Source organism: Homo sapiens, chromosome 14 (genome assembly GCF_000001405.40).
Source record: "Homo sapiens chromosome 14, GRCh38.p14 Primary Assembly".
NCBI lineage: Eukaryota > Metazoa > Chordata > Mammalia > Primates > Hominidae > Homo > Homo sapiens.
This window is the reverse complement of record NC_000014.9, coordinates 53949592-53971176: the sequence shown is the minus strand read 5'-3', so window position 1 is coordinate 53971176 and position 21585 is coordinate 53949592. Positions and strand designations below refer to the sequence as shown.

The 21585-nt window shown below is 48.0% G+C and overlaps 2 protein-coding genes across 10 annotated transcripts, besides 21 other annotated features; one reads left to right on the top strand and one right to left on the bottom strand.

Annotated features, from left to right (window-relative positions):
- Positions 1 to 8820: 8820 nt before the first annotated feature.
- LOC124903317 (uncharacterized) lies at positions 8821 to 16995 on the bottom strand. Its single transcript, XM_047432035.1, has 2 exons — positions 14849 to 16995; positions 8821 to 9316 (listed from the first exon to the last, which is right to left on the bottom strand). The coding sequence occupies exons 1-2, from the start codon at positions 15274 to 15276 to the stop codon at positions 9268 to 9270; spliced, it is 477 nt and encodes a 158-aa protein (XP_047287991.1). The 5' UTR covers positions 15277 to 16995; the 3' UTR covers positions 8821 to 9267.
- Positions 12408 to 14526: a promoter, noted in NCBI's record as "-1917 promoter fragment". NCBI's record gives the evidence for it as "EXISTENCE:reporter gene assay evidence [ECO:0000049][PMID:9701626]".
- Positions 12408 to 17782: a biological region, named in NCBI's record as "BMP4 promoter region". NCBI's record gives its function as "regulatory_interactions: BMP4".
- Positions 13184 to 14526: a promoter, noted in NCBI's record as "pSLA4.1EX for P1 promoter". NCBI's record gives the evidence for it as "EXISTENCE:reporter gene assay evidence [ECO:0000049][PMID:10457277]".
- Positions 13251 to 13274: a protein binding site, noted in NCBI's record as "GATA1 site". NCBI's record gives the evidence for it as "EXISTENCE:protein binding evidence [ECO:0000024][PMID:10457277]".
- Positions 13415 to 13452: a protein binding site, noted in NCBI's record as "Bmp4.1-2 site". NCBI's record gives the evidence for it as "EXISTENCE:protein binding evidence [ECO:0000024][PMID:14960358]".
- Positions 13460 to 13484: a protein binding site, noted in NCBI's record as "CBE (-865)". NCBI's record gives the evidence for it as "EXISTENCE:protein binding evidence [ECO:0000024][PMID:11054542]".
- Positions 13749 to 13786: a protein binding site, noted in NCBI's record as "NF-kB-Oligo 3". NCBI's record gives the evidence for it as "EXISTENCE:protein binding evidence [ECO:0000024][PMID:17350185]".
- Positions 13781 to 13804: a protein binding site, noted in NCBI's record as "Bmp4.1-4 site". NCBI's record gives its function as "positive regulation of promoter activity" and the evidence as "EXISTENCE:protein binding evidence [ECO:0000024][PMID:14960358]".
- Positions 14225 to 14246: a protein binding site, noted in NCBI's record as "oligo A". NCBI's record gives the evidence for it as "EXISTENCE:protein binding evidence [ECO:0000024][PMID:21411747]".
- Positions 14269 to 14303: a protein binding site, noted in NCBI's record as "oligo B". NCBI's record gives the evidence for it as "EXISTENCE:protein binding evidence [ECO:0000024][PMID:17350185]".
- Positions 14277 to 14298: a protein binding site, noted in NCBI's record as "oligo B". NCBI's record gives the evidence for it as "EXISTENCE:protein binding evidence [ECO:0000024][PMID:17350185, PMID:21411747]".
- BMP4 (bone morphogenetic protein 4) lies at positions 14286 to 21441 on the top strand. 9 transcript variants are annotated; one of them, NM_001347912.1, is made up of 4 exons: positions 14286 to 14418; positions 17777 to 17901; positions 19001 to 19324; positions 20289 to 21441. In NM_001347912.1, exons 1-4 carry the CDS (start codon positions 14357 to 14359, stop codon positions 21143 to 21145), a joined length of 1368 nt encoding a protein of 455 aa, NP_001334841.1. In that variant the 5' UTR covers positions 14286 to 14356; the 3' UTR covers positions 21146 to 21441. The 9 variants fall into 9 exon arrangements, with proteins under 9 accessions (NP_001334841.1, NP_570911.2, NP_001334842.1 ...); NM_130850.5 differs by having other exon boundaries at positions 18948 to 19324; NM_001347913.2 differs by having other exon boundaries at positions 14352 to 14627.
- Positions 14390 to 14469: a silencer, noted in NCBI's record as "silent region_5760". NCBI's record gives its function as "represses an Ori minimal core promoter by ATAC-STARR-seq in GM12878 lymphoblastoid cells {active_cell/tissue: GM12878}" and the evidence as "EXISTENCE:reporter gene assay evidence [ECO:0000049][PMID:35858748]".
- Positions 15119 to 15228: a silencer, noted in NCBI's record as "silent region_5759". NCBI's record gives its function as "represses an Ori minimal core promoter by ATAC-STARR-seq in GM12878 lymphoblastoid cells {active_cell/tissue: GM12878}" and the evidence as "EXISTENCE:reporter gene assay evidence [ECO:0000049][PMID:35858748]".
- Positions 15454 to 16749: a promoter, noted in NCBI's record as "pSLA4.2PN for P2 promoter". NCBI's record gives the evidence for it as "EXISTENCE:reporter gene assay evidence [ECO:0000049][PMID:10457277]".
- Positions 16250 to 16283: a protein binding site, noted in NCBI's record as "Bmp4.2-1 site". NCBI's record gives its function as "positive regulation of promoter activity" and the evidence as "EXISTENCE:protein binding evidence [ECO:0000024][PMID:14960358]".
- Positions 16292 to 16325: a protein binding site, noted in NCBI's record as "Bmp4.2-2 site". NCBI's record gives its function as "positive regulation of promoter activity" and the evidence as "EXISTENCE:protein binding evidence [ECO:0000024][PMID:14960358]".
- Positions 16429 to 16749: a promoter, noted in NCBI's record as "pSLA4.2NN for P2 promoter". NCBI's record gives the evidence for it as "EXISTENCE:reporter gene assay evidence [ECO:0000049][PMID:10457277]".
- Positions 16921 to 17421: a promoter, noted in NCBI's record as "bp5 construct; +2581 to +3080". NCBI's record gives the evidence for it as "EXISTENCE:reporter gene assay evidence [ECO:0000049][PMID:24477565]".
- Positions 17428 to 17517: a silencer, noted in NCBI's record as "silent region_5758". NCBI's record gives its function as "represses an Ori minimal core promoter by ATAC-STARR-seq in GM12878 lymphoblastoid cells {active_cell/tissue: GM12878}" and the evidence as "EXISTENCE:reporter gene assay evidence [ECO:0000049][PMID:35858748]".
- Positions 17568 to 17637: a silencer, noted in NCBI's record as "silent region_5757". NCBI's record gives its function as "represses an Ori minimal core promoter by ATAC-STARR-seq in GM12878 lymphoblastoid cells {active_cell/tissue: GM12878}" and the evidence as "EXISTENCE:reporter gene assay evidence [ECO:0000049][PMID:35858748]".
- Positions 17749 to 17782: a protein binding site, noted in NCBI's record as "Shox2 site". NCBI's record gives the evidence for it as "EXISTENCE:protein binding evidence [ECO:0000024][PMID:20858598]".

Below are 21585 nucleotides of genomic sequence, written 5' to 3'. Positions count from 1 at the left end.
CAATACCCACCCTGTATCTATAATGGCTCCTCTGATCCAAGTTAAAGAAGAACATCTGCAGTCCTCTGTGAATATTGGCTGCTGTCTTCTGTCCTCAGTTGAGGCAGGGACATCTGTGGTGGCAACCTGATTATCTACCAATACTTTTTATGTTTCTCTGCCCAAATGTGCAGCTGTTTCCTGGGTGGGAAAGTAAAGAAACAGTGAAAATCAGACAAAATAACAGCAATTTCAGCAGGAGATTTGTGAGAATATTAGGCTTAAGTTAACAACCTCAAAATTATGTTACAACATAAGGACTAATAATATTATACCAATTAATAAGCCCCTTATGCCAGACACTGCACTTTATATGCATTATGCCACGGACTCCTCATAAGAACATACTCATTTATTAAATGAGGAAACCAAGACTCAGAAAGGTTAAGAAATTTGTGCAAGATTACATAGCTTTTAAGTGGCAGCACTGGGCAGATACTCACTTTTTTTTTTTTTTAAGACAGAGTCTTGCTGTATTACCCAGTCTGGAGTGCAATGGCGTGGTCTTGGCTCACTGCAACCTCTGCTTCCCAGGTTCAAGCGATTCTCGTACCTCAGCCTCCCGAGTAGCTGGGATTACAGGTGCCTGCCACCACGCCTGGCTAATATTTTTGTATTTTTAGTAGAGACGGGGTTTCACCACGATGGCCAGGCTGGTCTCAAACTCGTGACCTCAAGTGATTCGCCCACCTTGGTCTCGCAAAGTGCTGGGACTACAGGCGTGAGCCACCGCGTCCAGCCTAAGACACTCAAGCACAAACCTGTGAAGGAAGGAGTATTAGCTTTCTTTTACAGATGAGGAAACTGCAACCCAGAGAAGTCCTGTGACTTGCTCAAGGCTGGGCAGTGCAGTGATTAAGAGGATGGGTCGGCCGGGCGCGGTGGCTCACGCCTGTAATCCCAGCACTTTGGGGGGCCGAGGCGGGCAGATCACGAGGTCAGGAGATCAAGACCATCCTGGCTAACACGGTGAAACCCCGTCTCTACTAAAAATACAAAAAAAATTTGCCAGGTGTGGTGGCGGGCACCTGTAGTCCCAGCTACTCGGGAGGCTGAGGCAGGAGAATGGCGTGAACCCAGGAGGTGGAGCTTGCAGTGAGCCGAGATCGCGCCACTGCACTCCAGCCTGGGCAACAGAGCGAGACTCCATGTCAAAAAAAAAAAAAAAAAAAAAAAAAGAGGATGGGCCCTGGCATTGGACTGTCTTGGTTTGAATCCCAGGGCTACCACTTATATATGTGCCAGTGGAAATTGTTTAGTTGCTGTGCCTCAGTTTTCTCATATGTAATACAGAGATAACAGTTGCTTCATAGGATTCTTACAAAAACAAAATAAGTTACATGCACTTGTAGAGACTGGCCTAGCACCTCATCCCAAACAAGCACTTAGTAGCTTTTAGCCAGTGCTGCCACTAGTCTATATTACATGGGAACATTCCTGGTGTGCTGAAGGAGTTGGGCATTCAAATGTGTTTTGGTGCTTTTGGAGAAAAGAAACAAATACTTTCTGACTCCCAGTGGTGGAAGTCCTCATGCTCTAACAAAAGGGACCCCTAGGTTTGCTAGCCCCACCCATCAGAGAGTCATACCTTATGGATAGAATGGCTCTGTCAGCATTTCTCACCTCTGCCTGCATTAAGTGACCTAGAGAATTAGCAGGGTTGTGGCTTTGGAATTGTTTTGGGGAAGGACTTTTACTGGTTTGGGCTGAGTTCTGTGGGGTGACTTTAGATATTTCCATAGTAGAATGCAATTTCATTTTGCCTAAGCCACACCTCTCATCATGATAGCTAGTCTTCAACAAGGTCCCCCAATGAACCCTGGCTCTTGATATTCATGTCTTTGCATAGACCCCTGCTACGTTGAATCTAGGCAGGTTTTTGTATAACAATAGGATGTGGTAGAAGTAACATTGTGTGGCTTCTGAGGCTAGGTCATAATGAGTCTAGTAGCCTGTGTTCTTGGAAAGCTCTCTCTAGGGGATGCCAGCTACTGTATGAAAAGTCCAACTACCATTAGACCACCAAGACATGATAAAACCCACACTAGCCAAATTGAGAGGCCACACGGAGAAGAAGAGACACCGGGCCTCTCCCTAGCAATTTCAGTCATCCAGATGAGGGGCCAAACACATGAGAGAAGAAGCCATCTTGAACATCTGGCCCAGTTGAGCCTTCACATGTCTTTTGCTACAGCCACCATCTGACTGCAACCGAAAGAAACCCCAGCCAAGCAGGAAGTGCCAGCTGAGCCCAGTCAATCTAGAGAAACATGAGAGGTGATAATAAATTGTGATTTTTAAGCTACTCTGTTTTGGGATTGTTTATTATGAAGCACCAAACAACTGAAACACTCAGATTTCCCAAAGCTATTGGTGCAGTTACAGTACACTCAAATCCAATCTGTAGATGAGGATTGTAAGCTGTTTCTTTTGATTAAATTAGATTTTGTGGTAAATATACAAATCAGGCCCCATGGAAGTCTGTATGCAATTTTTGTAATTCTTTTGTAATTCTTTCCACTTTTCTTAAATGATAAAAGGAGAAATATTGGTCCAACACCACCTAATTTTTTTTTTTTTTTTTTTTTTTTTTTATCTGAGACGGAGTCTCGCTCTGTCGCCCAGGCTGGAGTGCAGTGGCGTTATCTCCGCTCACTGCAAGCTCCGCCTCCGGGGTTCACGCCATTCTCCTGCCTCAGCCTCCCGAGTTGCTGGGACTGCAGGCGCCTGCCGCCACGCCCGGCTAATTTTTTGTATTTTTAGTAGAGACGGGGTTTCACCGTGTTAGCCAGGATGGTCTCTATCTTCTGACCTCGTGATCCACCCGCCTTGGCCTCCCAAAGTGCTGGGATTATAGACGTGAGCCACCGCGCCCGGCCCAACACCACCTAATGTTATATTACATGTTTCTCTATTCGATTGCCACTTGTCTTCCCTTTTTGCATGTAAATTCAAAGATGGCAATACCTTTGTTTCATTCCCTGTATGGCAGAGCACCTGGGTTCTAAAAGTGAGTGATTTAAGGCAACCAATTGGAAGCACCGTCACTTTCATGACATAGTCTTGGATGTTATATAGCATGGGTTCTTCTGTAGCCATAAGCTTACCCAGTGTGTTAGGCATAATACTAGCCCTCTAAAATGTCCACATCCTAATCTCCAAACCTGTGAATATGTTACCTTACCTGGACTTTTCAGACCTGACTGAGTTAAAGACCTTGAGACAGGGAGATTATCCTGGATTATCCAGGTGGCCACAATGTAATCACAAGGATCCTTACAATCGGGAACCCGGAGGGTCAGAGTCAGAGAAGGAGATGTGATGCAGAAGCAGAGGGCAGAGTGATGCTGGCCATGAGCCAAGGAATGCAGGCAGCCTCTAGAAAGTGGAAAAGGCAAGAAAACAGATGCACCCTAGAGCCTCCAGAAAAGATGCAGCCCTGCTCACATCTTGATTTTATCCAGGTAAGACCTATTTTAGAATTCTGACCTCCAGAATTGTAACAGATTTATGATATTTTAAGCCACTAAGACTTGGAATTTGTTACAGCATCTAGGCTACAGAAACACAGATTCAAAAGGAGAAAACAAGGCCAGGCGCAGTGGCTCACGCCTGTAATCCCAGCATTTTGGGAGACCAAGGCAGGTGGATCACTTGACGTCAGGAGTTCCAGACCAGCCTGGCCAACATGGTGAAACCCCATCTCTACTAAAAATACAAAATTAGCCAGGCGTGGTGGCAGGTGCCTGTAATCCCAGCTACTTGGGAGGCTGAGGCAGGAGAATCGCTTGAACCTGGGAGGTGGAGGTTGCAGTGAGCCAAGATTGTGCCACTGCACTCCAGCCTGGGCGACAGAGCAAGACTCTGTCTCAACAACAACAACAACAACAAAAAGGAAAAAAAAGGAGAGAGAAAAGATAGACCCCTATGTCTCAGTGGGAAGAGTGTCAGAAGTCACATTCAAGAGCATGTGGAATGGAAGATACTGTTGCAGCCAGCTTTGAAAAATACAATCTGCCACACTCTACCAGTAATAGGTGGATTATAGCTTGATATTTGTGGGTCTCAGTCTCATCTGTCAAATGAGAGGATTGAGTATAAGGATCACTAATATTCTGGACACCAAAGTTCCTGGTCCTGTGAGTGAAAGGGAGATGTAGTAATGCCATGAGAATTCCTAATAAATCATGGCTGATTTTCTATTACTTGATACTCACTGTCATTTATATACTGCTCTGAATGGGATGGATATGGGATGCCTGAACCAGAAAAGCTCAACAAAGAAAGCTGATGAATTCCCAAGAAGACAAGCCTCAAAATATGGGTTGTTTTGTTTTTGCAAAATTTCCCGGCTACCTGACTTCAAGTTTATATTTTACAAAACCACACCGCAGTGGCTAAAGCACTTTAACAAATCATTTCATCAATTCCTCCTTGTTTAAGTATCAAAATGTTACTAAGAAGATGCTTTTGTCTGTTATTCCAGCAATCTGAGTGCTGTACAGGAGCACACCATCACACCATCATTCATAATTTTTTTTTTTTTTAGCAACGCACCTACTATAATCCATAATGTTTTGTTTGTTCGTTTGTTTGTTTGTTTGTTTTGCTTTTGCTTTTGGGTCTTGACCTCCAGCAACTCATTTTTTGTGATACTGGTTCTCAAGATATAATTAAAACATAATTAAAGATCAAGAATAGATGTCTTTCTGTTCTCTGGGACATCCACAAACTATGTAGCGTACAGTTTGCTATTAAGGATTTTATGCTAAAGAGAAACAAAATAGGAGGACTGTCTGTTGAACAAACCCACATGCCAGTGCTGAAGGCATAAGAAAGAATTTAAAAGAAAGTAGATCAGAGTTCATGGTAGTTTTCCTAATTTCCCTATAACTCAGGAAGCCACGAAATGTGTCTGTTTTGTCTTCATTAGCTTCATGACTGGGTGCTATAGACAAAAGAGATATGTCCTTGCTAATTAACTTTGAGTTAACTTTGAGATATTCAGCCATTTGGTGGTTTCAGTTTGGCATCTATTGGCTGCCATAGATGATGCTTCTTAGTTCAAAGGGTTACTGGAAAAAGTTGTAGAAGTGGGGGACAGAGATGCTCTTTCCCTTCTAAGGCTGCCTAATTAGTTAAAGAAGCTAGATGCCACTAATAAGGAACTATGTGTACACAATTTTATTAAGACGCTAGTGAACCTGAACTGTGGAGGAAATCAAAGGGGGGAAATAAATGGGTTAAGGACAGTTTTCCAGCAAAGAGTATATGAGAAGACTGACCATCTCAAGTGTGGCTGCTCTATTTAAAACTCCTGTACTTTTGCACAAAATGCACAAGGAATTAAATTTACCTAAATCTGTACAAAATGTGCCCTTTTTCTAGTATTCCCCTCTTGTAAATGGGATCTTTATCTGAAGTCGAAACCTGGTGTTTGTTAGCTGGGTGGCCTTAGGCAAATTACTTAACCTCTCTACACTTCTTTCCTCAAATGCTAAAAGAAAGTTGGTGGTGGCGGTGATGGGGGTGGGGCGATGTGTGTTGATAACTGTAGTATATAAACCATAAGGAGTTTTTCTGGGGAATTAAATGAGATAATGAAACATGAATATGACTAACAATGGTCAGGAATCCGAAGTATGTTGATTTTCCTTATAAGTATATGGTTGAAGAAAATATGCAAATATTCATGTAATTACAATTATTCACATAATTGTTCATTTAATTATCACTAGCATGTGGAAACCCATCAGCATTTATTTTCATAAATGCCACTAGCCATGTATTTTGTGATCTGTAAATTGGTTTCACGTACACTCCAGTGTTTGATCCTCACGTTAAGTCACAAGAGTCTTCAGTGGGTAACTGGTGGGTACAGTTAACATGGGGCAGAGCAGGGACTTAGACTCCAGGTCACTATTGTGCCAGGGTCCTTTCCCCTGTGACTGTTGGCTCTTAACAGAGTGGAGTTTCTGTTGTCTCAGTGGTGAGTTAAGGACATTTTGCTGTTGAGTGTGAAAGCTATGTACCACTGGATCAAAGTTTTTTATGAGTGCAACTTGGAGACATATCCCAATAGAAAAGATTTAGCACATGGAAACCTAGATGAAGTTATGCATCCCCCAAGCACTTTCACATTTACATCAAAAATTATCTGCATAAATGTCGGGATTTTCACAGATCCCCTAAAATCCATCCAGGGATTCTTAATGAAGCCAAGTGGCAGGCCTAAGAATCTCTAACATAAAAAGATTAACATTTAATTTAAATACAACAAGCAAAGCCAACAATCACTTTTATTTACCCCTTGAGAATCTTAGTCCCTTAATCACCTGGTTTTTGTCCCCATTTTTTCTATCTGAATTTCGTCTAAAACTGGGGAAATAAACTGGATCATCCAAACTCCTTGGGTTCTAGCTGTAGAACTAGGCATGTGACAGAGTGCCACAGCACATTTGGAGGCATGTTTACCTGTCATCTGTAGTTGACATCCTAACTTGTTGGAGGTGAACAAGAAACAAAACTCAGATTTTCAGAATAAAAATCAGAATTCTGAGGGAAAAGCTTCAACAGCTAGCCAGCCATCCCTTTATGCTGAATAAAGGAAACTCTGTTATGTTTTCTTTTTGTTTGACTGGCTTGCAGGAAGGCTGGAGCCCTTGAGGTTGTTCTGCAATGATTCACTAACCCACCAGGCACTGACTATCTGAAGCGGCCTCTGGCAAGCTCACACCTCCTCCAGGCCTTATAAATCCCACTTTGCTACTATCGCATAAGCTTGCAGGTACCACCGCTGGGCTTGGCAAGTGGAAACAGCCCATCACAGAAATTCAGACATTGGGGGAGCACGCTCTTTTTCCTAACTGATCAGAAAAGCCATCCTCTGCCACCTGGAAAGCCTGTCTTAAGATGGAAATGGTAGTGGAGGGGGCAGCTAGCTAGGAAAGCAAGCTTAACAAATACTATCCAAATTTAATTTTCTGCCACTATCATCGGGGCTCCTGTACCCTGTTGCCCCGGCGTCCCCTTAGGCTTCACGGAGAGAACGTCAGGGAGCAGGGACAAAATTGTCCCAGGAGCCGCTCTGCCGCTGCCAGGGCGTTAAGACCTCCTGTCCCTTTCGTTTTAAAAATTTCATTCATTCATTCTGGGGATGGTCCATTGTTTCCAAGTTCTGGTAGGCGAGAACGCTTAGCGTCTCAGGAACCTCTCGTGCGGATGGATGCAAATTCCGCGCGGGTGGCTCGCCCAGGTTGCCCGGGCGCTCGCTGTTTATTCAAGTGTGGATCAGGTTAGCCACCAGGGGCACAAATCCTGCAAAACGAGTCTGAGAGTGGGGCGAGCTGTTGCAGGCAGGGAGGTGCAGCAGCCGAACTAAAAATAACGAGGGCAAGAGAAAGGCGGGAGTGCCGAGATCGCGCGGTGAAGGTGGCGTGGCGGTGGGCAGAGCGCGGGAGCCAGCTGTGGGGCGCGGTCAGGGTGACCCTCCACCCACCCTTCGCTGACGTGCGTGGAGGCTTACTAGGGCGTCGCCTCAGGGACCCGAGAGGAGTGCCCAAGGGGAAGGCGCAGTAGCCGCTCCCCCCACCACCAGCCACTGGACACAGCCTAGTTCTCACACCCCACTGCTCTCCTCCGGTGGCCCTGGGGTATCAGCGGAGCACGCGGACGTTTCTTTACGTTAGTTAGCGGACATCGGGGAAGTACAGTCTGCCCCTGATCAGGGAGGGAATGCGGATAAGGAGCTGGAAAGTTGTCCTGCTTAGCTGGCTCGAGGAGGGGTGGGGAGGTACTGGGGCTGGTGAGCCTCGTGTCCCCAGCATGTTGTCGCAGCTGCAGTCTAGAAAGACAAGGAGGGACTCCGAACTTCCCCGCGTGCACACCTTGTTCTTCTTCTGCCTGGAGGAGGTGAGCGGAGTGTCCATCTGGGCTGCTCCTCAAGAGCAGGACTCCCTCCTTCAACCCTTCACCTCATACTTTACTTGCAGCCCAGGCTCTCAACACCTGTCTTGATTTCTCTGACTCCTTGAAACTGAGTTTGCACAATCTCTGAGCCTGGCCCTGTGGTTGCAAGATTCTGAAAAGGGCCAAAGTCCGGCCACATGCACTTAGCTCCATCTCTCTGCATCAAGGCTGGGATTCAGCTGTGGTGAGGGACCAAGACAGTCACTTGGGAGTCCCATTTTCTCTATCACAATCCTTTCCCCAGCCCATCTCCTAAGCCCAGGGCTCCCAGAATTTGGGGGTGGAGCCCATATCTTTCTCTTAAACTGTTATCTGTTTTGGATGAAGTTTTACCTTCCTGCATTTCTATCCTAAGAAATGCATATCTGATGACCTTGCCATTTCGCCCCAGAGATTGATGGTTTGCAGTGCCAGTCTGAGCTTCTTAGCAAGAGAAGCCAAGGAAGGAAAGAGCTGAGCACAAGTCTCAGATGCCTCCAGGAGCTTCTGTTCTGGTCCAGTGGTTACCAGCCCTCCCATGAGTTTAAGGAACGTGCCAGGATTGTGTCAGACATCTTGCCTTCTGCTATGGGCTGTACTGGTCCCCAGAGGCCAGGCCTTGGTTGGTACAACTGTTCTTTCTTCTGTGGCCCCAGAGTGGATTTCCTGAAGCCACAGTTCAGTTTCTCAGGTGCTGTGGCCACCAGAGGACCAAAGATTAGGCTCCCCCTGGTTTTGCCCTGCCTAACCATTTGGCTCCAAACATTGTGTGTTGCTAGTAGGCTTCAACTAATGGTCAAAGAAAATAACTTTAAAAAAATCATTTCAAAAGCATAGTTTCTATAAGTATTTAATTAAAAAATATGTAACACAGAAAGTGCACAAATATCAAGTATACAACTTGATGAATTTTTACAAAGTGAACATCAACAAGCATCTTTGAGTTGTGTATTACATCTATACTTAATCCCTGAGAGGATTATAAATACTATGCAATTATTCTTGAACAGAACATTAACGAAAAAGGCTCTCCACCAAAGGGCTGTGAAATGTGTGAACTATTAGTAAAAACATCCAAGTATTACTTATACAATAATAATTCCTGGGATCACATATCCCTTTGGACAGGTTTCCTTGAGAAAGACTAGAAAGCTTTTAGCATGAGTTGAGGGTAGAATATCAGCTGGTATTCCGCAATTGGCGTCTGATTGAGAAAACACAATAACCATTTGGTACAGTCAGGTGTCCATGTAGCACTCTGCCTCTGCTTCCAAGTGTCACTCATCCTATAGACACTACGTTCTTGTTCAGGTTACACTGTTCCCACACACTGGGGTCAGAAAAAGAGAAGGAGAAGGATGTATGAGCACAAAACAAAGAAATTTCAAGGTTTAATCTTTTTTATATCCTCTAAAATAATTTATTTTCAAAGAGCATCCCTGTTGTAGAATTAAATGAGTGCAGTCGACTATTTTTTTAGGAGAGGAAGCTGAGAATAGTCAAAACCCAAATATCTGTCATTGCATGCCAATCCCATCCTGATCATTCCTTAGAAAAGACTTTTCATATCCATGCCCTGTCTGCCATCCACGTTAAACATGTTATGACATAAAAACAGTCTTTTCATCTGTCTGATATCACTGGGGGTTCATTTAGAAGTCTCTGTCCATTTTGGATTTTTGTTTGTTTGTTGTTGTTTTTGTTGTTGTTTTTGAGACAGAGTCTCACTCTGTCGCCCAGGCTGGAGTGCAGTGGCGTGATCTCAGCTCACTGCAAGCTCCGCCTCCTGGGTTCACGCCATTCTCCTGCCTCAGCCTTCCGAGTAGCTGGGACTACAGGCGCCCGCCACCATGCCTGGCTAATTTTTTATATTTTTAGTTAAGATGGGTTTTCACCATGTTAGCCAGGATGGTCTCGATCTCCTGACCTCGGTATCCACCTGCCTTGGCCTCCCAAAGTGCTGGGATTACAGGTGTGAGCCACCGCACCTGGCTTGGATGTTAATATTGAAGGGTTTTTATAGAAAGGACCATATTCCAGAAAGTATCAAGGCAGCAATTTAAAACATAGGGAACTGAAATAGCATTGGATTTTCTTTTTGTCATGAGAAAATATCAGCATCCAGTATTATTTACTTTGAGTGAGGCATATCAAAGGTTGGCAACAATATTAAATGTTTAGAGAAGGAACAACTTGTGCAATTGGGTTAAAAGTTCATCTTTAGATCAGAATAAAGAAAATGAGTTTATGTTTTAGCTTGAGGGACAGGAAAAAAAATTCTTAAAAGTTAGAGGTGTTAGGAATCCGCAAAACAGACGGAGAATGCTTTTTGGACATGTCATTCAGTCTCAGCCTATTAGTAAAAACTAATTGCTCAGAGTAGGTATGATTTTGACAGTGAGTAGTTATCTTGGCACAGCTATGTTCATGGGTCAGATCTATATAGACAAAGCATAATGAGTGGACATTGGAGATTAAGCAATTTGACTGTGATTTTAACTACCAGGATATATTGTCTCTGTATTCCAGAGCCTGAGAAAGACCTGTGAGGACCCTGTTCAAGCTCCACATTTTACAATGAGGAAACTTGGACCCAGCAGAGATAATGAGCTCCTTTCTCAAGATCATAACCTTTTTCTCAGGAAAGGTCACATAAAAGTCTTGCCCTAAGGCGGGCTTATATAGTAACGTCAGGAAGAAACAAACTTCTAGGTCTTGATTTTGTTTTGTTATCTAAGAACTTGGGAAGATATCCTGAAATTCCTGGTAATAGCATGCTGCCAGGATGGAGCAGCAGCTGGTGCCTTGGCCTGGGGAAAGCTTCCAGGATAAGCCTCGGGGATCCATCCACAATACCCCTCACTTGCCCAGGGAGAGGAGACAGACTGACATGGTTTGGACTTGGGGTCCACCACTTTCTAGCTTTGTGACCTTGAGCAACTTACATAACGTCTCTAAACTTCAGATTCTCATCTGTAGGACAGGGATTTTATAAGGGTTGTTGTAAGGGCTAGAGATATATAGGGCAAATATATAAGATATGATAAATATTAATAAGAGGAAAACTAAATTTCTAGCCAATTTCAGAGACCACTTCCAATTCCAATTCGAATTCGAATTCCAATTCCAATTGATCTATCTTACTGCTTCTCAAAACTTAGCAGTGATTCTGGGAATTCCTTCCGTAGCTTCACCAGACACCTAATTGGCCAAGAAGGTTTGAAGACCTGATGTGGTTCTTAATTGGGGATGGGGAATTAAGGGCTACTGTATCTATAGGATTATCTTTTCACTTGCATAGACCTATTTGGTGTGTTCAGGGCATAGTGATACTATAATTGCCATATTTAACAGTTTATAAAGTTCAAGCCCAGCATATTCTTTGCCTGTTTAATGATGTCTTGGTATCAGCCTTTTAATGGTACTTATCAGCATAGAAAATGGAAACAAAATAACTTTTAAAACAGTAGCTCTCAAGCTTTAGTGTGCTCAGAATGACCAGAGAACCTTGTGAAATATACAGATTTCTGGGTCCAGATCTGGGGCAGGACCAGGAAGTCTGCATTTCATCTGCACCCCCACCCTACTCTGAGGCTTATAGTCCTGAGAACATGCTTTGAAAAAGGCTGTCCCAAGGGCTCGCAGACAGGCTATTGACCAGCTACTCTTTCTTGATGTTCTCCAGGAAAAACCCAACAAAGGAATGCCTTTCATTGAGTAGTAGCAGCATAGGAGCAATAGTTGCTCCTGAATTATGGTGGGTTTCCCCTCTTCATCAATGTGCTTTAAGGGTACAGTTTCATTTGGTCTATCTACCATGTTCTATAAAAACATGAAAATTCACAGGTAAGTTTGAGATACAGAAAATAACTAAACTGATTCTTCTCACGAACTCTGATCACTAGGCTGTGGTTGATTTAGCTCTCTAACCAACAAGTAATTTGTTCTTTGGCATGAGTAAGGGGGGAAAAGGAGGAGTGGGTAAAAGCAGCTGATAACAGATGGCTTGCGCCCATCTAAAATGTGGGGAGAGAAATAAAGCTGTCCCAAGAGAACTAAAGCTGAGTTCTCTCGTCATATATCTGAAGATTCATATCAGGGGTCTAAACATGGTATGTCGGGTAGCTTAATTGGAAACTCCTGGACTGTGAGTGTCACAGACTCATGGATGGGCCAATCAGTGGCCACTTTAGTGTCTGGGCTGCAGCAAAATGAGACAATAGCTGTCATTCAAAAACCTTTGGAATTAAAAAAACCCCGAAATGACATTGGTGCTTTAAAGTAAAATAAAGTCCTGCCTTTAAGTCCAGCATATCACTGTTGTTTCTGAGTTTAAATATTAAGAACCACATTTCGTTAATGATTAAAACAACAGTGATTGATTTAGGGGCTCAGTGAGCATTTAATCTGTCCTGACTTCAGGTACCATGCTAAAGGAGCACAATGCCTGATGCTGCAGGAGAAACATTAGGTAACTATTTAATGGAGTTTTAATTTTCTGTTATTATTTTTAATAATTAATTGTGATTTTGACTATTTGGAAGCTACAGGTATATTTTGTCCTCCTTTTGGGGTGGTGTTATTGCCCTGCCCTGTTTTAATCAGTGGTTCTTAGAGAAAGTGAACTCAGGAGTGACTTAAAATGAAGGAAGACGGACTTTGGCTAAAATTACAATTAAATAATCAAATCATTTTCAAATATAAAGGGAGCATGCAGATGATCTGGCCCAATCCTTTCATTCTGCAGATGAGAAAACTGAGACTCATAGGAATGAAAAGACTTGCCCAAAGCCATACAGCTTGTTTCTGTTGTTTGGTGCATTAGGCCAAAAGACCTAGGCCTAATAGATGGAAAAGATGGCAGGATGTCTTGGCCTTGCTCTGACAGTTGCTTCTCTGATCTCAGATATTTCCCACCCTTTGTAATCTGTGTTCCACACAGGAAGTAGTTCTTGTTTTTTAAATATCGAAGGTGTATAAACGTAAAGTTTTTATAGATGAGCCACCCAGGGCCAATATCTGTTTAAGTAAAGACCTAAATGCTTTGCAGAGACAGTAAAGTGTCATGTCTGTCCCAGGGAAAGAAATCCAGGACAGGAAATGCTCAGTCTTCCAGCACTCCTCTGGCTACCTGGAGCTCAGGCTATGAGCCTCAACCCCTCCCTGAAGCATTAGCTCTGGAGCAGAGGCTGTGATTTACTTCAGAGATCTGGGCAAGTCCCTTTAACCTGGTAGTCCTGCCTTTCCTTGTTTGTAAAACAGAGAGATGAGGCTGATAGCTCCCTCACAGCTCCATCAGAGGCAGTGTGTGAAATTAGTTCCTGTTTGGGAAGGTTTAAAAGCCACCACATTCCACCTCCCTGCTAATATGATTACTAAAATGTTTTTATATGAAAGGGCCAATTCCTCATCTCCCCTCTTCCTTTAAAAACAGACCAAGGGGCATCTTTTCTTGTCTCCCTGTGGCCTAAAAGGTTACTGCTTCTGTGGTTATCTCCTTGGAAAGACAGAGTGTCAGGACTCTTAGGTACACCAAAAATGAACAAAAAAATCAACAACAACCATAACACCAACAAAAATAACTGCTGTGTCGGTTCTTAAGACGGCTTCTGAGCTAGAAACAGATTTTTCTAACTGTAAAAAACGTGGCCCCAGCCTGTCTGCAGGCCACCTCTGTCTTTAGGCCTTGGGGGGAGGAGGGAAGTGAGCTCATTTACTGGGGTCTACCTCAGGGTCATCACCAAGGTGTTCTACAAAACGCACTTTAAGAATGTTTTGGAAGGAAATTCACCTTTTAACAGCCCAAGAGGTATCTCTCTCTGGCACACAGTTCTGCACACAGCCTGTTTCTCAACGTTTGGAAATCTTTTAACAGTTTATGGAAGGCCACCTTTTAAACCGATCCAACAGCTCCTTTCTCCATAACCTGATTTTAGAGGTGTTTCATTATCTCTAATTACTCAGGGTAAATGGTGATTACTCAGTGTTTTAATCATCAGTTTGGGCAGCAGTTACACTAAACTCAGGGAAGCCCAGACTCCCATGGGTATTTTTGGAAGGTACGGCGACTAGTCGGTGCATGCTTTCTAGTACCTCCGCACGTGGTCCCCAGGTGAGCCCCAGCCGCTTCCCAGAGCTGGAGGCAGCGGCGTCCCAGCTCCGACGGCAGCTGCGGACTCGGGCGCTGCCTGGGCTTCCGGGACCCGGGCCTGCTAGGCGAGGTCGGGCGGCTGGAGGGGAGGATGTGGGCGGGGCTCCCATCCCCAGAAAGGGAGGCGAGCGAGGGAGGAGGGAAGGAGGGAGGGGCCGCCGGGGAAGAGGAGGAGGAAGGAAAGAAAGAAAGCGAGGGAGGGAAAGAGGAGGAAGGAAGATGCGAGAAGGCAGAGGAGGAGGGAGGGAGGGAAGGAGCGCGGAGCCCGGCCCGGAAGCTAGGTGAGTGTGGCATCCGAGCTGAGGGACGCGAGCCTGAGACGCCGCTGCTGCTCCGGCTGAGTATCTAGCTTGTCTCCCCGATGGGATTCCCGTCCAAGCTATCTCGAGCCTGCAGCGCCACAGTCCCCGGCCCTCGCCCAGGTTCACTGCAACCGTTCAGAGGTCCCCAGGAGCTGCTGCTGGCGAGCCCGCTACTGCAGGGACCTATGGTGAGCAAGGCTACCTGGTGAGGGGAGACAGGCAGAGGGGGTCTAGGAGCCTCCTTGGGGGGAAGAAGCTGGTCACAGGCTGTGACCGAGGCAAAAGGTGGCCTAATTATTTTCCAATAGTGGTGCTGGAGGTGGGGATGCTGGCGCTGAAAGACCTTTAAATATCGGCTACTGCCCCTGCCCAGGCCTTCTCTGTCCAGCAGTCCCTGGGAGATTCTCACCTTTGGGAAGTGCGGGGCAGGAGAGCAGAAACAAGAGAAGCCCTTGGTAGGGGGGTCGTTGGGAAAAACTGTGGGGTCTTGGGCTGAACGCGTTGCCCACGGGCTGGAGGTTGCGATCCCCGGACGGAAAGCGCGGGAGGAGGAAGGAGAGAACCGGCTCTGAGGTCCAGAGAGAGTGAGGGGGCAGAGCGACGGCGAGATGGGGAGAGAACACCTAGCTGGAGCAGGTTCTGCGGTAGAGAGCGCAGTCCTGCTGGCCTCTGGAGAGTGCGCGCCGCTCCGGAGGCTGCGTCGAGGGGAGTGTCACCCAATCTGGCCCCCAGCTGGCGGGGCGCCCTGAGAGCTTGCGAACTGCAGTTGCAGGACGCGCCTTCTCCACGAGCTATTTTCGTCGACTTGCGGAACCCAAGGAACCTCGCCTCTATCATTTCACGGTGTAGGGTCCCTAGAGACGACAGCCAAGATCCCAGGGGCTCCCAGGACGCTTGTTCCTGCGGTGTCGTGTCCTATGGGGAGTTCCTGGCGGGACGAAAGGCGGACGCGCGGCTCTTCCTGGCCCTCCAGGCCCGGAACCGACGGGAAAGGTTCCCGTGATTCCCGAGTCCCTGCAGGCTTCTTCCAGCGGGAGTTGGTCCGGGGGCCTTAGAGGCCTCCAAGCACTGCTTTGGAGGATGGTTTCCAAGGATCGCGGTTTGTGAGTTGAAGGCTTTGTGAGAGGTTAAACCCCCAAAAGATACATACTTGGTAAACTGAGGCTACCTGTAAACACATTTCGGCATTAGGAGAAGATTCGAGTAGGGAAGTGAAGGACAACCACCCCGAGTTACATTCCTTTCCCCCAATAAAAAGCTCTGGGGATGAAAGTTCTTTTGGCTTTTATCTTTTCGATTTAAAAATTTGAGAAGAAAAATGTGACTAGAGATGAATCCTGGTGAATCCGAAATTGAAACACAACTCCCCCTTCCCCTTCCTATCCTCTCGGTTTTAGAACCGCGCTCTCCCGCCCCAGGAGATTCCTTGGGGCCGAGGGTTTTCCGGGGAACCCGGGCGCCCGCCCCTTCTACTGTCCCTTTGCCCCGCGGGCACAGCTTGCCTCCGTCTGCTTTCTCTACTTCTGGACCTCTCCTCGCCGGGCTTTTTAAAGGGCTTCTGCGTCTCAAAACAAAACAAAAAAACCCTTTGCTCTTCCCAACCCTTTCGCAGCCCGCCCCAGCGGTGGCGCGGGACCAGCAAAGGCGAAAGCCGCGCGGCTCTTGCCGGGCGCGGACGGTCGCGCAGGGGCGCCCGCGGCCTCCGCACCCGGACCTGAGGTGTTGGTCGACTCCGGGCATCCACGGTCGGGAGGGAGGGCTGAGCTGTTCGATCCTTTACTTTTCTTCCTCAAAGTCTACCTGCCAATGCCCCTAAGAAGAAAACCAAGTATGTGCGTGGAGAGTGGGGCGGCAGGCAACCCGAGTTCTTGAGCTCCGGAGCGACCCAAAGCAGCAACTGGGAACAGCCTCAGGAAAGGGAGGTCGGGTGGAGTGGGCTTTGGGGCAGGAGTCATGGGGCCCGGGCCCCGGGGACGACCTGGCGCTCCCGGCCCTGCTGAACGCTGAGTTGCGCCTAGTCGGGTTTTCGAAGAGGCCCTTGCGCAGAGCGACCCACGCGCGCGGCAGCATCTTCGATTAGTCAGGACATCCCAGTAACTGCTTGAACTGTAGGTAGGTAAAATTCTTGAAGGAGTATTTGCTGCGTGCGACTCTGCTGCTGGTGCAACGGAGGAAGGGGGTGGGGGAAGGAAGTGGCGGGGGAAGGAGTGTGGTGGTGGTTTAAAAAATAAGGGAAGCCGAGGCGAGAGAGACGCAGACGCAGAGGTCGAGCGCAGGCCGAAAGCTGTTCACCGTTTTCTCGACTCCGGGGAACATGGTGGGATTTCCTTTCTGCGCCGGGTCGGGAGTTGTAAAACCTCGGCCACATTAAGATCTGAAAACTGTGATGCGTCCTTTCTGCAGCGACGCCTCTTTCTGAATCTGCCCGGAGCTTCGAGCCCCGGCGTCTGTCCCTCAGCCTGGCATGGCTTCTTCGGGGGTCTGCTTTGCATGGGGAGAGGGGCCACGCAGCGGCGGACTAGGTTTGGGGATTCTCGGTAATGGACCCGGAGCAATGACTAACAGCCGCTCCCTCTCACTTTCCCACAGCGATCACCCTCTAACACCCTCCCTCCCATTCCCGGCCCCGCGCGTGACAAGGTCGGCTGCTTTCAGCCGGGAGCTAGATCGGTGGCCCGGCTCTTCGGAGCCTTAGCAGGCGTTCGCCAAGGGGTGACTGGCTGTCATTGGGAGCAATATTTGGCCTTGAGGAGACCCTGGGGAGGAAGTGGCGGGGAGCTCGTGTTTGCTTGTGTGTGTGTGGGGGGGTGTGTGTGTACACGCGCGTGGGCAGGGTCCCTCTGCGCTTTCCTTTTTAAGTGCCTCTCGGTGGTGAGGCTTTGGGCGGGTGAGACTTTCCCGACCTCGCTCCCGGCCCCACTTAAGCCGGGTTCGAGCTGGGAGACGCAGTCCCTTCAGTGCGCCCCAAATCCTCTGGCTTCAGGTGGCCCGGCGCGGGGGCCCAGCACGACGCACCGCGCCGAGAACCGGGTTCTCCGTGCGCTGCGCCAGTAGCCCTGGGAGCGCGGCGGCCGCGGGGCACCGGCCGAGGGCTCTGCCGAGCGCCGCCGGGAGCTCCTCCCGGACCGCTGAGGCTCGGGCGGCGGGCGCGGAGGTTGGCCTCGCCTGGAGGGGCGGGCCCGCGAGGGGCGGGGGGCTGTGGAGGAGGGGAGGGCGCGCAAGCCCTTTCGCCGCCTGCCGCGGGAGGGGCCTCGGCGCTCACGTGACTCCGAGGGGCTGGAAGAAAAACAGAGCCTGTCTGCGGTGGAGTCTCATTATATTCAAATATTCCTTTTAGGAGCCATTCCGTAGTGCCATCCCGAGCAACGCACTGCTGCAGCTTCCCTGAGCCTTTCCAGCAAGTTTGTTCAAGATTGGCTGTCAAGAATCATGGACTGTTATTATATGCCTTGTTTTCTGTCAGTGAGTAGACACCTCTTCCTTCCCCCTCCCCGGAATTCACTCTGCCCTCACCACCCCTGCTCGCCGGCTGTCCCTTCCGTCGGACCTCCTTTACAATATCCACACTCTGCTCCCTGGCAGCACTGTCGCTCCCTTCTTGGCCCGGCAGCCGGGGCGCTGGAAGCGTACGGGTTCCTTTTAAAGTGCTGCTAGCGCGCACTCGCCCTCTCAGCGTTGCAAGAAAGGGGAGCGCGAGGGAGCTAAAGAGATGAAAGCCCGGGGTTGTACCTTGAGGGCTAACCACTCCCTTCCCCTATCCAACTTGTCTGGGAGAGCCCCCAGTGTCTCCGTGGCGCGTTCCCACTCTCTTGTCAAAACTCACAGAGGTCTCTCCGGAATCGTCTCTCACCCCTTCCCTGGGGATGAGCGGGCACGATCAGGCACTTTTGGCTGAATATTTCAAACTCATCGGCCACAATAAAATAAGCCCTCAAGCCACCCGGTTAGCTCCCAGACCACCTTCTCGGCTTCTGGACCCTGTCGCCCTCTGTCTTCGCCCAGCCCCTGCCTCTCACTTTCCCTCCCTCTGGCTCTGAACCAACTGGAAGTTGTGAAAGTTGGGCTCTGAGGGTGGAGGAAAAGGGAGAGAAGCTGAAGGTCTAAAGTGGAGAGCAATGCCATTTTAATTCTCCCTCCCCCACCCCTTTTCACCCCCTCAATGTTAACTGTTTATCCTTCAAGAAGCCACGCTGAGATCATGGCCCAGATAGCAGTTAGGACAAAAAAAGATTAACAGGATGGAGGCTATCTGATTTGGGGTTATTTGACTGTAAACAAGTTAGACCAAGTAATTACAGGGCAATTCTTACTTTCAGGCCGTGCATGGCTGCAGCTGGTGGGTGGGCGGGTGGTGTGAGGGAGAAGACACAAACTTGATCTTTCTGACCTGCTTTCCATCTTGCCCCTCCATTTCTAGCCCTAAATGCATATGCAGACACATCTCTATTTCTCCCTATTTATTGGTGTTTATTTATTCTTTAACCTTCCACTCCCCTCCCCCTCCCCAGAGACACCATGATTCCTGGTAACCGAATGCTGATGGTCGTTTTATTATGCCAAGTCCTGCTAGGAGGCGCGAGCCATGCTAGTTTGATACCTGAGACGGGGAAGAAAAAAGTCGCCGAGATTCAGGGCCACGCGGGAGGACGCCGCTCAGGGCAGAGCCATGAGCTCCTGCGGGACTTCGAGGCGACACTTCTGCAGATGTTTGGGCTGCGCCGCCGCCCGCAGCCTAGCAAGAGTGCCGTCATTCCGGACTACATGCGGGATCTTTACCGGCTTCAGTCTGGGGAGGAGGAGGAAGAGCAGATCCACAGCACTGGTCTTGAGTATCCTGAGCGCCCGGCCAGCCGGGCCAACACCGTGAGGAGCTTCCACCACGAAGGTCAGTCTCTTCCCCCAGTCTGCGTGGGGGAGGGCTGGTGGGACTGGCTAGAGGGGCAGTGAAAGCCCTGGGGAAGAAGAGTTCGGGTTACATCAAAGCCCCAGTCCAGGAGGCTGAGGAACAGAGCTGCTTACCTCCAAGAATTTGCAGAGCTGCCGCCGAACTTATTTTTTGGAGACAGAGGGGGAGGTGTTCAGGGGAAGGGGAATGACAGCACTCAGACGTGGGCTAGCCCCAGCGGTGTGTTTTTGCTATATCAAAGCCTTTTCTGCTAGGTTTTCTGCCCGTTTTTTTCAAAGCACCTACTGAATTTAATATTACAGCTGTGTGTTTGTCGGGTTTATTCAATAGGGGCCTTGTAATCCGATCTGAATGTTTCCTAGCGGATGTTTCTTTTCCAAAGTAAATCTGAGTTATTAATCCACCAGCATCATTACTGTGTTGGAATTTATTTTCCCCTCTGTAACATGATCAACAAGGCATGCTCTGTGTTTCCAAGATCGCTGGGGAAATGTTTAGTAACATACTCAATAGTGGAAGAGGGAGAGGGTGGTTGTCTGCATGTTTCCTCCTGCCTGTGCTCTGTTGGCCCCTCTTTTTCTTTACAACCACTTGTAAAGAAAACTGTGGACACAAAGCCAAGGTGGGGGGTTTAAAAGAGGAGTCTGATTGTGGTGCCATAGAGGAGTTGACACATAGAAATTATTAGACATATCAAGGAGGCTGGATATAGTTTCTGTCTTTGGTGCTTGAGAAATGCTAGCTACATTTTGCTGGTTTGTTAGCTGCCCCACTTATCTGCTCCTTCAAATTAAGGGGTATGCTTATTTTCCCCCAGTAGGTTTCCCCTGCATAAGCAGAATTCACCATTCATTGCCCAACCCTGAGCTATCTCTTGACTCTTCCATCTTTGAAAAAAGTTCATATGCTTTTTCTTTTCCCCTTCCTTCCTAACTGTGCCTAGAACATCTGGAGAACATCCCAGGGACCAGTGAAAACTCTGCTTTTCGTTTCCTCTTTAACCTCAGCAGCATCCCTGAGAACGAGGTGATCTCCTCTGCAGAGCTTCGGCTCTTCCGGGAGCAGGTGGACCAGGGCCCTGATTGGGAAAGGGGCTTCCACCGTATAAACATTTATGAGGTTATGAAGCCCCCAGCAGAAGTGGTGCCTGGGCACCTCATCACACGACTACTGGACACGAGACTGGTCCACCACAATGTGACACGGTGGGAAACTTTTGATGTGAGCCCTGCGGTCCTTCGCTGGACCCGGGAGAAGCAGCCAAACTATGGGCTAGCCATTGAGGTGACTCACCTCCATCAGACTCGGACCCACCAGGGCCAGCATGTCAGGATTAGCCGATCGTTACCTCAAGGGAGTGGGAATTGGGCCCAGCTCCGGCCCCTCCTGGTCACCTTTGGCCATGATGGCCGGGGCCATGCCTTGACCCGACGCCGGAGGGCCAAGCGTAGCCCTAAGCATCACTCACAGCGGGCCAGGAAGAAGAATAAGAACTGCCGGCGCCACTCGCTCTATGTGGACTTCAGCGATGTGGGCTGGAATGACTGGATTGTGGCCCCACCAGGCTACCAGGCCTTCTACTGCCATGGGGACTGCCCCTTTCCACTGGCTGACCACCTCAACTCAACCAACCATGCCATTGTGCAGACCCTGGTCAATTCTGTCAATTCCAGTATCCCCAAAGCCTGTTGTGTGCCCACTGAACTGAGTGCCATCTCCATGCTGTACCTGGATGAGTATGATAAGGTGGTACTGAAAAATTATCAGGAGATGGTAGTAGAGGGATGTGGGTGCCGCTGAGATCAGGCAGTCCTTGAGGATAGACAGATATACACACCACACACACACACCACATACACCACACACACACGTTCCCATCCACTCACCCACACACTACACAGACTGCTTCCTTATAGCTGGACTTTTATTTAAAAAAAAAAAAAAAAAAGGAAAAAATCCCTAAACATTCACCTTGACCTTATTTATGACTTTACGTGCAAATGTTTTGACCATATTGATCATATATTTTGACAAAATATATTTATAACTACGTATTAAAAGAAAAAAATAAAATGAGTCATTATTTTAAAGGTAAATCATGATTTTTTTTTTCTCCTTAATCCTTTCTCTTTTCCTTCGGGCTCATCTCTTTTGAATGAGGCTTTTTTCTGTTCAGGTGAGTTGGAGGCTGGATGGAAGTCAAAAGGTGGTACCTGGAGGTGGTTAAGTTGTAGGGACAG

Bases quoted from the DNA above. Each gene is read 5' to 3' on its own strand.
- BMP4 (NM_001347912.1), top strand. From the start codon at position 14,357: ATGCGAGAAGGCAGAGGAGGAGGGAGGGAGGGAAGGAGCGCGGAGCCC. The intron at 14,419-17,776 runs GTGAGTGTGGCA...TATTCCTTTTAG, and splicing joins GAGCCCGGCCCGGAAGCTAG to GAGCCATTCCGTAGTGCCAT. The intron at 19,325-20,288 runs GTCAGTCTCTTC...AACTGTGCCTAG, and splicing joins GAGGAGCTTCCACCACGAAG to AACATCTGGAGAACATCCCA.
- LOC124903317 (XM_047432035.1), bottom strand. From the start codon at position 15,276: ATGATAGAGGCGAGGTTCCTTGGGTTCCGCAAGTCGACGAAAATAGCT. The intron at 9,317-14,848 runs GTGAGAATCTCC...TTCTGACCCCAG, and splicing joins CTGCCCCGCACTTCCCAAAG to TGTGTGGGAACAGTGTAACC.